This window comes from Homo sapiens, chromosome 1 (genome assembly GCF_000001405.40).
Source record: "Homo sapiens chromosome 1, GRCh38.p14 Primary Assembly".
NCBI lineage: Eukaryota > Metazoa > Chordata > Mammalia > Primates > Hominidae > Homo > Homo sapiens.
The window spans coordinates 196,596,693-196,609,656 of record NC_000001.11 but is presented as its reverse complement, the minus strand read 5'-3'; the positions used below and the strand labels follow the sequence as shown (position 1 = coordinate 196,609,656).

General features: G+C 36.8%; 1 protein-coding gene across 13 annotated transcripts in view, besides 1 other annotated feature; it reads left to right on the top strand.

The window, feature by feature from the left end:
- Nucleotides 366–882: an enhancer, noted in NCBI's record as "H3K27ac hESC enhancer chr1:196577905-196578421 (GRCh37/hg19 assembly coordinates)". NCBI's record gives its function as "activates a minimal SCP1, AML or CMV promoter by ChIP-STARR-seq in primed H9 embryonic stem cells {active_cell/tissue: H9 hESC(primed)}" and the evidence as "EXISTENCE:reporter gene assay evidence [ECO:0000049][PMID:30033119]".
- The window catches only part of KCNT2 (potassium sodium-activated channel subfamily T member 2), a 382,662-nt gene continuing 370,914 nt past the window's right edge, over nucleotides 1,217–12,964 (top strand). For all 13 annotated transcript variants that reach the window (NR_146057.2, NR_146058.2, XR_001737149.3 and 10 more), the window contains exon 1: nucleotides 1,217–1,442. Coding sequence is in view for 9 of the 13 variants with exons in the window: in NM_001287820.3 (NP_001274749.1) it covers nucleotides 1,348–1,442 (95 nt within the window). In the remaining 4 variants the exon portion in view is untranslated. The remainder of the gene's footprint in view (nucleotides 1,443–12,964) is intronic.

The window sequence follows — 12,964 nt, the reverse complement described above, 5'->3', positions numbered from 1 at the left end:
ATTTATCAAGGAACAAGCTTGTTCCTCCACACAGAGCGGTTCTTAAGTAAGGGCAGGAGAAGCCATATGGTTATCCTCCGGCCCAGGCTGTCAGGTGGTTGGTATTCGGTCTGTATATACTCTGATGCAATCAGTTTTTGAAGGAAAGAACGGTAAGCGCAAATAGAACCATAGCTTGTGTAGCAGGGTTCATGTAAGCAGTGGTTCTTACTGAAAAACAGACCCTGTTCTCTCGGGCTCACTTCTTCCTCCGTGTGAACCACTAATAGGAGGGGACCGAAGGCTGAGGCCAGGCCACCTGGAAGCCCACAACGCTGCTAGTAGCAGCGACAGCAGTAACAGCAACTCACCACTGTAAAATCCTCAGTGCGTTTCCATGTGCTTTCCCTGTCATCTAAATGCTTCTCTTCAGCGGCCTAAGGTGGCCCTTCTTTTTCCCCGAGTTCAGGGAAACACCTCCCTTCTTTCAGAATGTGAGAAAAAAATGGGATTTTCCTGGGGCTGAGAGTGGGGATTCCCTTTCCAGAAACGTGCAATTTTTTCATCCCGCCCACCTGGACTGAAGGCAATCAAAGCGAGGGAGCTCGTGGCATAGTGGAACACTCCAAGCACCCTGGCCCCCCTCCTCCCAGAGAAGGGTCTGGAGCCCCGCAATCCGCTAATTAGCTCGCCCCCATTGGTTGTCCCCAAGGCACCCCCGTGCCGTCACTGTGCTATGCTAATGAGGGGGAGTCTCATTGGCTGGGCCTCCAGCTCCATCTCCACAGGGAGATTGCGGGGAGAGCCGGGTTGGCCGCGTCTGGGGCCGAAACCCACCGCCCCCGATTCCCGCCAGCTCAGGGCTGTGCCGGATGCAAGCCCGCCCGAGGGAACAGTAGCCGGGAGGCTGCCCTCTGGGAGGATCTGGCAACTGCCTTTAAGGAAAGTGCTTCACCATCAAGCGGCGCTCACTCCCACCCCTCTCCCCTCTTTCTAGGCACCGCGCGTCTTTTTCGGCGAAGTAACTTTTTATACCCGCCTCCCCCTAGTCCTGGGGACCAGAGGCGGTGCCGAGCCTGGGGGCGGTTCCTTGGCAGCGTTGATTCTTGTCAGAGCCAGACTTTTGCTCCTGGGTTGGGTTTGCATCATCCCCATTACACCCTCGGGAAAGAGGAGCCAGCCCCCTTTCAAGCCTTAGCTTCCGGCTCCAAGCGGACCCCCTCCCCCTCCCTGTCCCCTTCCCCTTCTCCCATCCCTCTCTCGGCCACAGCGTCTTGTTAGTCCTCTCCCTGTACTCCGCAATATTTTCTTTCTTTCTCCCTCCTCTCCTCCATTTGTTGTTTGATGTTTCCCACTCTTTGAGGAAGGATGGTTGATTTGGAGAGCGAAGTGCCCCCTCTGCCTCCCAGGTACAGGTTTCGAGATTTGCTGCTAGGGGACCAAGGATGGCAAAACGACGACAGGTGAGTGGTGTGGTGGAGGATTGTTCTGTAAATATTGCTGAAAAAGAGACGGAAATGGGAGGGCCGAAGTGGGGAAAGGAGGGAGAAAAGGAAAACGGAGCCAGAGAGGGAGACTAGGCTGGGGGAGGGAGTAAAAGAGACTCTGATTTGTCTCTCCATTTTGACTCTATATAACTGTTGCTATAGATAAGGAACTCTTTTTCTTTACACTTTTCTTATTCTTGCAAGGTATTTATTGCATTCATTTGGTGCTTATTCTTTTGTCTATCTGTGCTTTTCTAGGATGTGTATAAGGCTGGTATCAGAGGTACAATACACCCAAATGGTATGCAATATCATTTCCAGAAAATTTGCATTTTTTCCTTAGGTGTGGTTAATCAAACTCAAAATTGCATGCAAGTTGTTTGAAAAAGCACATTAGAAACTTAAAATCTCCTGAGTCTATTTACCTCCTCCTTGTCTGTGTTGTCTTGAGTAGGTATCTACTTGGCACTGGAAATTTTATGCTGTTTAAACATTTTGGAGTTTTAAGTAGACAATTGGTTTAAATATGTAACAGGTAGTTAGTGAAAATGACAACCTTTTTAATACAATATACTCACTTTGAACAGGTGACTCTGACCATTATGAATAATGATGTTTGTATAACATGATACAACCTTTTCATAACTAGTATATTTTTTTAACTGAAACAGAATATATGTCTCAAAATTAAAATTAAGTTTCAAAACTAGAATATTTATTGTTAGCAAAATATTGTTCATGTGTTTTATTTATAGCATTACTGCTTTGCACAAACTTCTGAAATTCCTCTGTCTATTTCTGTCTCAAGCACATTTTGTATTTCAGCGAATTTAGTATTTTCTGGAATAGTCATCCCATATATCACATGCCACATTTCTTTGTTTTAAAATAATACATGTATACTAACTAGGTTCTCAACTCAATTGAAATGTTTCATTGAAGTTTAGTTTAGTATTGATGTGCTATTTTAGTTATATAAAAGATCCATTATTGGTCCAATCCAAAATCCCCTCCTCATTCACCACTGACCAATACACTCTATTTCTTTTCTTCACCTTTTCAGCTCCCAATACCAACTCCTGTCTCTACACACTGAGGATTTTATCTTGAGCATCAATTATGGGCATCTTGTTTGGTCTCATATTAGTAATTTGAAAGGAGATGGATGTTTTGTAGAGGATATTTTGGTTCAATCTCTTTTTTAGGCAAAACCACACATATTGGCTAAAAATTTAAAGAAGTAATACCAATTTCTCAGTATTCTTGTAAAGTGTTTGGGTAAACTGAAGATAAAGAAAATAATTTTTAAGTGAATTTGTAATACAAATTGACATTTAGATAAACTGCATTAGCCTGGTTAAATGGCTTAGTAAGTGTAGCATGGTGTTCCTAGTGACTGAATGTATATTTAGTTCAGGACCTCAGGATCATTATATAGAATAGAAATCCTCTTTGTAGAAAGTGTGAGATAGATTAAACACATAAAGCACATACTTTGGTTATAGTGATGGTATTGTTGTTTGTTTGTTTTAAATATCATATCCAATATGTTAATTTTCATGTGGTTGCCCTCATTTTTCTAAGGATGCTGCAGAAATATTTTAGTAATTAAGAATTTTGGTTAGTTGAACACTGCCTAAATGGATCAGTGCCATATTAAAAAAGTTTTGCAGAATGGTTAAAATTTTATGTTCTATTAAAAGGTTATGCTAGCCCAACTTTAACTTAAAAAGCAGGCCACATTTACTACTAAAATAAGTTATTAAATATTTAAAACAATCATTCAACCATTTTTAAGGATTTGGCTACTTTTGTGGCTTCATGGAAAACTATTCTTTGGTTTTGGTTCCATTTGTTGTTAATCTTTGAAGGCAAGATACTTGGAATCAGAGAAACCCAGATTCAGTCCTTGGCTGTTTCCTTCACTAGCTGAGTGGCCTTGGGAAAGTCATTCAGCCATTATGAGATTCAGCAATATTATTTTTTATAATGGGAATTATACTGTCTACCTTATAAAACTGTGACAAGAGGAAGGATGGAGAGGCGCAGAACTAACATTTAGTTGGAAATAAGTACTCCCAAGTTCTTTTAACTGTGCGGTATGTTCTTTCTTAGTTAATCCTCAGACAAACTCTGAATAGCAGGCAATTATGTTAGGCACAAGGAAACTGAAATTTTGGTAAATTAAATACGTGTCTTGGATATTATATCTTATCAGTGTAAAGATAACTCTTCAGTTCAGTTTATTATTATTCAAATCCCTCAAGAAATTCTTAAGTTCTTTTCACTTAATTTATTTGAACTTATAAGAATAATTTACAGCACCTAGCATAGTTTAGGTGCTCATTAAATATTAGTTCCCTTCTTCACTTCTGATTTGCCCTTTGCAATCCTTTTTTTCTCCCTTTTCAGACTCCTAAGCTAATATGTGGTAGGTAAAGTCATCTTCCTTGTCTATAATATGGTGACAAATTCCTCTTTGCAATTACGCCTGGATAGCAATCTCATTCTACTCAGTTATCTTCTTGGACTCAATTCTTATAGAGTTGAGGAGGAAGCCCTCTTTCATGTAGGAGTAGGTAGATCATTTCCAACAACAGATACATTTAGTGCTCTGCCCATATTCTCAAAGCAACTTTCTTTGAACACCTCCTGCATGAGGTTTTCTCCCCACCACCAACCTCAGGTGCATCCAAGTCCTGCTTGGAGAACAAGCTGGAGTGTCACTGAGTAAATAGGCTGTTTCTGAATCAATACTTTTGCTTCCTTGCTCCTTAGCTTGGAGAATTCTGAAGCATGTTCTACACTGTGTCCAAAGGGACTGAGCTCCACTTGCCCGCAGTGATAACTGGCTTAATACTGAAAGCTTTATTGGCTTCTGTCTCTCTTCTCCCCTACTGGTATTTTATCTGTGATCAATTCCCAAATGAACTGCTTTTGCTGCAATCCTATCTCAAGCTTACCTTCTGGGAGAATCTGCATCAAGATAGCTGTTTTCTGGATGTAGAGAGCCACATCCTTGTAATGATGGGGGAATTGTGTTCCAAATGTAGGAGTATAAACACTTTCTACCTTGTTCCTCACTGTAAGAATTTCAAACTCCATCTTAGGTCATAGTTGACTGGCACATGAAAATGAATGAAGCATATGATAGATGCTCAAATGGGTGTTGTTAAAGACATAATATTGATGGGCCTATTAGGTGTAGGAAATGTGTATTCCATACCATAGATTTTCTGTGAATCAACTTTGGATAAGTAGGTCATCTAAATTTATATTGTGCCACCTTTTGTGTAGGTAAAAACACATACACATACACTGGCATAATGTACATGTAATGTATATAGTGTATATGTAACAGATATGCATTGCTTTTGTAATATATGTATTATAAAATATTGTATATTGTATGCTAAAATTGTATATTATGTAATGCATCATATATTACAAATATGTGATTAATAATATATATTATAATATATGTAATGAATAGATATGTCTTTGTATTATCTTTACGCCATCCTTAGATAATTGCTTCTCTCTCATTTGCACTCTGATATCCTTTTCTGAGTAGGACATATGGGAATAGGGTTAGACACAGCAGTGCAGAGAATTTAGCACATGGATAACACTACTTCTGTGAGGCCATGAAATAAATTTGAGTTGCTAAATGAGAATATTGCTTATGTGTAGGGATGTCTTTTGTATATATGATGCACACTTACTTGTTTGACATCCTGAGCAAAAAACAAAAATCTAATTCAAGTGGTTTGTATGATATGTCTTTAATGGCCATTCATTCATTCAGCTAATATTTGAATGTTTGCTATGTCTCAGGGCCCCATTAAGTTAGGTTTTGGGACAAATACGGAAAAGAATATGAAATAGCGCTCAGTCTGGAGGGGGTCACAGATATGATAAGAGGTTAATTCACCTCAGAATATTGACAGTATTGTTTATGTTATGATGATGTCCTTATAGAATTTCCATTTTAATACTGTCAAGAAGATTCTGCACCATTTGTAGAAAGGATATTCAGCATTTGCTTGAAAATAAAGTAGTTGAAATCACATATTAGAGATAGCTCAAGGCATTCAACATTCAATATTCAACTTCTGGCACCAAGCCATCTTCCTGCCTTGGACTCCCAAAGTGCTGGGATTATAGGTGGGAGCCACTGCTCCAAGCCTGTTTTCTGTTTTAATATTTCTATGATTCACAAAGCAGTAAAGATTTAGAGTATTCTCCTGCAGTTAAACACTGATAAGTTACAGGTTTTAAAAGTCATCAGCCAGTTATACAAGTCTTCTCCTGTTTCATCATGATTTAGTAATTTTAAACTTTGGAACACAACACACTTAATGTGAATAAATTGTCACAATTCCAACTACTGTTAATGGAAAATCCTCAGTTGTAGCCATAGAAGAGAAGGTCATTTATTTAAGACCATTCTAGTTTTCAAAAATCAGGTCACTTGTTTCAAATCCAATAATCATGCATACCTTTTGTATTTTATAGGTGGCCTTTAGAAGTAATTCAAGGAAGTCAACTAATGCATTGTAGTTGTTAAAACATTAAAGGATTTGAACATAGTACAAGTCAATCCATTAACAGTTTAAGAGGTATTTACAAAAATAGAAAAATATTTCCACAGCATTTGGAATATGTGTAATTTTAGATATACACTGCAAAATATATTGCTTTACATAATCAAATTCAATTGTGAGAATGGGTTTTGTATTGACATATTAAACATTTTATAAATTACTAACTTTATCTCCATTATAAATTATATATTGTTTTGAAAAACAGCCATTTATTATAAAATATTTATTCTAAATTTTAAGTTCAGGTTAGTAAAGACAATTTTAAATTTTTGAGCGCCATTAAAATGAATGACACATTATTTTTACTCTTTAATCGATAGTGGCATCAACTATGCATATACAATATCTACAAAAATGATTTAAGCATTTACTTTAGAAAGAGAGTTTAGACAATCCTGTGTTTCTTATCAATATCGACTTTATTAAGAAAAATATCCACAAATAAGGCAATAGAAAATTAGAAACTTAAACAGATAATGGTATAAAAAATAGACTTTGGGCCGGGCGCGGTGGCTCACGCCTGTAATCCCAGCACTTTGGGAGGCCGAGGCGGGTGGATCATGAGGTCAGGAGATCGAGACCATCCTGGCTAACAAGGTGAAACCCCGTCTCTACTAAAAATACAAAAAATTAGCCGGGCGCGGTGGCGGGCGCCTGTAGTCCCAGCTACTCGGGAGGCTGAGGCAGGAGAATGGCGTGAACCTGGGAGGCGGAGCTTGCAGTGAGCCGAGATTGCGCCACTGCAGTCCGCAGTCCGGCCTGGGCGACAGAGCGAGACTCCGTCTCAAAAAAAAAAAAAAAAAAAAAAAAAAATAGACTTTGAATATATATAGTGTAATACATAAAATGCAGAGAAAAATGTATTATTTAATAATTATTGTTTTTCAATCACTACTAAGAATTCAGACATCAATATTTTATATAAAACACACAAGGTTCTTTTCTTTTAACCAATTCTTATAAATAAAATTGAAATGTGACTTTTCAAATTACTGATACTTTATTTTTAAAGTTTGATTTAATTTAACAGCTATCATATAGCCACTTTCTGCATTTGGTTATGTATTAGTAGTACTTCTGTGAGTGACTTAATCATTTCCCTGGGGCTCCACTGAATACTGTCACATTCGGTATTATGTTCCAATATATGAATTTCATGGGGACACCAACATTGAGATCACAGCAATTGATCCTTTTGTCATTGATGGTTCATCTGTTTTTATTAATTTATGTATTGCCTATGTCATATTATTTATTATGCACCATGCTTGTCTAAGTTGTCTTTAGAAAATAAAGCAAAAAGCAATATTTTTTACAGTAAAACGGTAACCAGTTGCTTTATATACTTACAATTTGAAATTAAGTTCACTTGGCCTTTTTCTGAGCAATATTTAATGTTTAGCGGTATCCTTCATTGAGATGTCTTTTTCTGAGTTTTAAATTTGGAATTAAAATTTTCTCTGCAAAAGCAATCAAAACAATAAATAATTATCCAGAAAGACAATTATTTTTAATCTTTCACAATCCTTGATTGGATATGGGATTTTTTTTAATGGGTCATAGAAAAAAATCCTTTTCACAGAATCTTAATCATTAGCAATTGAATTGTAATTTAAGTAACAGACGTCTATCTAAACATTGTGAGATAGTAAATAGGATAAACTGTATCCATACTGGTAACAATATGTTATAATCATCTGCTCAACTTCTTTTTGAAATTAGGATGGATATGAATGTCAGACATATTACCAAAGAAATAAGACTTTTAGATAAAATATTTAGGAATAAAAATGCAGTATGGGGCAATTTATCTTTTACATTGTTTTGTAATTTTATGTGGCAATTCTAAAAAAAGGAAGTAGGCTAACATACAGGGTCAGAGAATTGGTAAGATGGCTATAAAATTGGTGAAACACCATCATAATAAGTGGTTTAAAATAATCACCGTATCAGTAGAGCCAATTCTGTTTTTGCTAAATAACATCTCCCTACAGAAACTTCTGACAGTTGTGGATATATTGGTCTTTATCATTTCAAAATTTAAATGATAGCCTGCAGAAACCCTTAATAGCATTGACATCGTTCTTTCACAGACATTAAACACCCTACTAATTATCAAGAAGCACACTAAGCTCTAGGGATAAAATTGTGAGCAAAATAGACCTAGTTCAGATGTAAATGATTTTACAGTAGTGGAAACCGATATTAGATTTAAAAATACATATGCGAACTTAATTACAGTTGTGCTAGGCTATAAAGGAGAATGGCACAATGTTATGAGAGAGCATGATTGAAGATGAGCCTAGTCTGGCAGATGAAATAGTGGTCTGGGGAAAGTTTTCAAAGAAATCTGTGTTGAGATCGAGGTGTAAGGATGAGAAGATGCTGGTAGATTAAATGGGAAAAGAATATTTCAGGCTAAGGAGCAGCTTGCCTAAAAGGCCAGTGCTGGGAGAGAGCAAGGCATTTTCAAGGAACTGAGGAGAGTCAGGAGGCATTTGGAAGTATGGGTCTGGAGTTCAAGAGACCAAACTAGGCTTTACATGTGGCTTGTTACTGAAGCTATCCATAGCTATGGAGAAAATCACTTATAGAAGAGAAGGATGGGCCTGGAGCACTGACACAATTTCATACACAGTACAAAGTCAAAACTGGTTGGGTGAGGTTGTAGATGGTAGGATACAAGTGAAGGTGGGGGACTTTAAGTCCCTTCTCATCTTGAGATTTCTGCCTATGTAGAGTAGAGATGGATAAGCAAGGCCAGAAACTTCTTTAGAAGTAGAAGTGCTGGTGGTGTGTGAAATTTTAAAGGTATCAGCAAATGACCAAATTTTATGAATAAACAAATTGTCAATATTGAGCATAGATACTGTTTTACTCTTGCAATTAAATAAAATATAGAACACTGTTAATCTGTCATTCAGTGTGATCCATATCAAGTATGGATATCTAATATAAATGTATTTCTATTGTTGTGCTCCATAACATAGAAACCAAGAAATTCACCACACATCATAACCATGTTTTACTTCGTCAACCAAACTACATCATTAGTTTTTGTTGCCTAAAACAATCACTGATAGTGACAACTTTTCTGATATTATGTGTTTTGTCACTGTAGTTTTCTTAATTAAACGCTCATGTAATAAAAACAAAAACTTTGTGCTCTTAGGAGCTGTGGTTCCTTTGCATGCCTTGCAGCCAACCACCTCCATCTCTCCAGCTTACAGCTTTGTTTATGTGTATTTGGCTTCACAATTTGTCCCAGAAAATTCGGTATTGGCGGACCCTAAGACACAGGGATATTTCATTGCATACCTCTCATGTAGAAGAGTGATCACGTACATGCTTGCAGCAGATGAATAGAAAACTAGGCTCCATGGAGGCCAGAAAACACCGTGAAATGATGTTGGATTCTCTGTAGCTGGTCATATAAAAGCAGAGGAGTGAATTAGAAATTTCTGACCCTGACTCCTTAATAACTAGGTACAACTAGAACAAGCTGACTCATACATAAAGTCTTACATGTAGTATAATTTCAGATTAAGGAGGAACCATTGCATATACATGAAAAAATAAATCATTAACGTAAATGAAATAAATTAGTTCAGTGATATTAGACTTATTTGTCTCTCTTGACTGGGAAGTGGAGATGGCTTTGGAGTTTGGAGGTAAAGAGTTGAGAACCTGGAAAGCCCTAGTTGCCTGAAAGAAAGAAAAATATGCTCTTGGATGTGAGGCAGAAGATAATCAGCAAAAGAGGGAGACTAAGGACAGTGAGATTTCTCTCCACAATTTTGCCTTAGATTGAACGTATTTATCTTAGTCTTTTCTGAGAAATAGAAGCAGTGAAGGAAAACAGAAACAGAACCCAATTGTCAAGCATGGCTGATGTGTAGGGGACAATCGCCTGGCAGCACATCTCCAACTCTTTGACCTCTTTCCTCTTTAGAGTCTTAGCTGTACCTCTCTTCCAATCAGTGCTTTAGTAGTCTTAGCACTACTGCAATTATGCCACGGCTTTAAAGGGTGAGAATCATATCCCTCTGTGTACACATTCCTTGAATTCAGAGTTGTATTACTTCCAATTTTCACAGTATGTAAATATGGGTAAGAAATGGACTTTGCATATAAAGCCAGAAAACAGTAAATCTAAGAAACAGTGAACTGGTTGTTCCTGGCTTTCTTGCACTGGACTTACACAGAATCATAATGATGAATTGTTATTACAAGGGCACACTTAGCCATCTTGTAAATCACTGTGTGAATAGGGATAAAAGTGGATTAACACATTTCAACCTCATTTAACTCCCTGTGGGAAAACTTGTAGATTGTCCACATATTATAAACAACTAGTTGTTAACAACAGGGTCCAGATGTCTAGTTTAATAATGGACAGCCTGCTGTCTCAAGTCTGTCAAAAACTGAAATACTACTCTGTCCCCTAGGGATCAGATAGGGTGATCAGCAAGCTGCACAGGTTCCATTAAGGAGTGATGGTAATGACTTCTGTCACTGCCACACCATGTGGTGATTACATTGGCAAATTATAGATGGAAGCTGTCAGTATTTTGTTTCCATTTCTTACCTTTCTCTGCTCAAAAGAGTTTATGTGCTATTTCATCCATTTCCAATAAAAATGCAGAAGATAAGGTGAAAATGTATGATAATATTGAATATAGTATTTATCACAGCATCAGAGAACATTTACCAACTACTTAGCATGTGTCAAACATTTTTCTAAGCATGTTACATGTATTACGTATTACTTTATTTAATCTTTATACCAATTCTGAGAAATTCTGTTATTTTTCCCATTTTACAAATGAATCAACCAAGGTACAGAAATATATCACTTGTTCAAAGTCACATGACCTGTAAGAGGTAACTAGAATCTAATTATTATGCCTATTCACTATGTTTACAACATACACAAATGTGATTTAATGCTATTTAAATAATAGGAAGAACAAAATTCAAACAAATTTAAAGGCTTTTGAAGTCAGAAAAGTCATACAGCTCTTGCATCCCCATAGGCCAGTGTTATAGTGACTTGATTAAAATAAGTGTTAAGGAATTTTTGAAGTTGGTCATACTTTCTGAAAGAAAAACCTCTTTTGCCTCTAGATGTAGAGCATGGTTCTTTTGATAGTCTGGAGAAAGTAGAATGACATGGAAAATCAGCAAAACAAACTAAGGCAATGGTTTTATTTGTGTGTGTATGGGGGTATAGATTATTATTGATTGATTGACTGAAATAGGGTAAAGGTAGTTAGTATCCCAGAAACAAAATGAAAACAGTATCCCAGGAACAAAATAAAAACAGCACAATGGATAATATGAAAAAGCAAGTGAATAATAAATGAATCATGAGCATATATCAATCAAAAAGACATCATGTAAGATCAAATAGTTAACTTACTAAGACGTTTTAAAATGTCCATTTTGAATGCTTTGGACAGGGTCATCCATTTATTTGCTACTTTAGTTAATCCACAATTATTACTATTTTTTATAGCTATGTGTTTTATTTTTTAATATTTTTCTCAGTAAGACTTTAAGATTTCCTATTTATGCTTCTATCTCCTGAAGTATTTGTACTAGAGTGAAATTGATTTTTTTCTCAACACTGTACTGGGATAATGAAAACACTATGCAGGGATGTTATGAAATTTACATATCATAAAGTGAAGTTACTTGATTTAGGGCTTAACACTTACACCTACTTATTAGTATGTTTTGCCTATTCTAAAGATTTGCAGTGGTTCACAGAAATTCATGCAATAGCATAGAGTAAACAGAAAGTACAACAGAATGAAAAGATAATAAGGAAAAAACCAAGTTAGGAGTATGTAGGTACATAGTATGACTTCCACAAATTTGTATGTATTTACTGGAGATGGGTTGCGAGGTTAGCCAGAGCAAAGATAAGGGCATGATCAGTTGCATAAGATGAGAAATGAACTGGTAGTTCAGAAGAAACACAGCTTTCCTTGGGGCTCAAATTTAAAGAAAATTTATCCTGTGGATCTTTGATTAGTGTACAGTATTCTTATCCACTCTCCTATCATAAAATAGCAAGTTTCATAAGACTCATAACATTCTCACTCCCTGGTGCTGATATAACTATAGAGAATTGTTCTCTTAAAGTAGATCTACAGGACACACCCAGTACTGTATTTCAGGTATATCCCATAGGAAAAAAAAAAAAAGTACGTGAGGTTACAGATTGATTATATTATTGATATATTATATTGTGTACAGTGTACACTGCTCAGTCTTTCATGTAATCTTCCTTAAAAACCTTTTTTTTTTAGTGTAGGTGGCTTTGATTAATAATAAAGGATGCGAAGAGATTGAAGTTACATTCTTTGTTGAGAACCTGATATGTAAATGTAGTCAATAGATACTATAATAGAATGGCTGTCCTTTGATGGAGAACATACTAGGATTCTAACCAAAACACAAACCTGAATTATGTTTACTCTCTCCTCTTCACCTATATTGGACTAACTAATTTATTTTCTTTTTCCACAAGTGCCCAAAGTAAATATACAATTTAATGTTCTATTAAGACTTTGTAAGGGCTGGGTGGGTGGCTCATGTCTATAATCCCAGCACTCTGGGAAGCCAAGGCAGGCAGATTGCTTGAGCCCAGGTTCTAGATCAGCCTGGGAAAAATGGCAAAACTCCATCACTACAAAAAGTACAAAAAATTAGCCAGGTGTGTTGGTGTGTGCTGTAATCCTAGCTACTCGGGAGGCTGAGGTAGGAGGATCGCTTCAGCTTGGGAGGTCGAGGCTGCGGTGAAACGTGATCACATGATTGCATGCCAGCACGAGACCCTGTCTCAAACAAACAAAATAAATAATTGAAAAATAAAGACTTTGT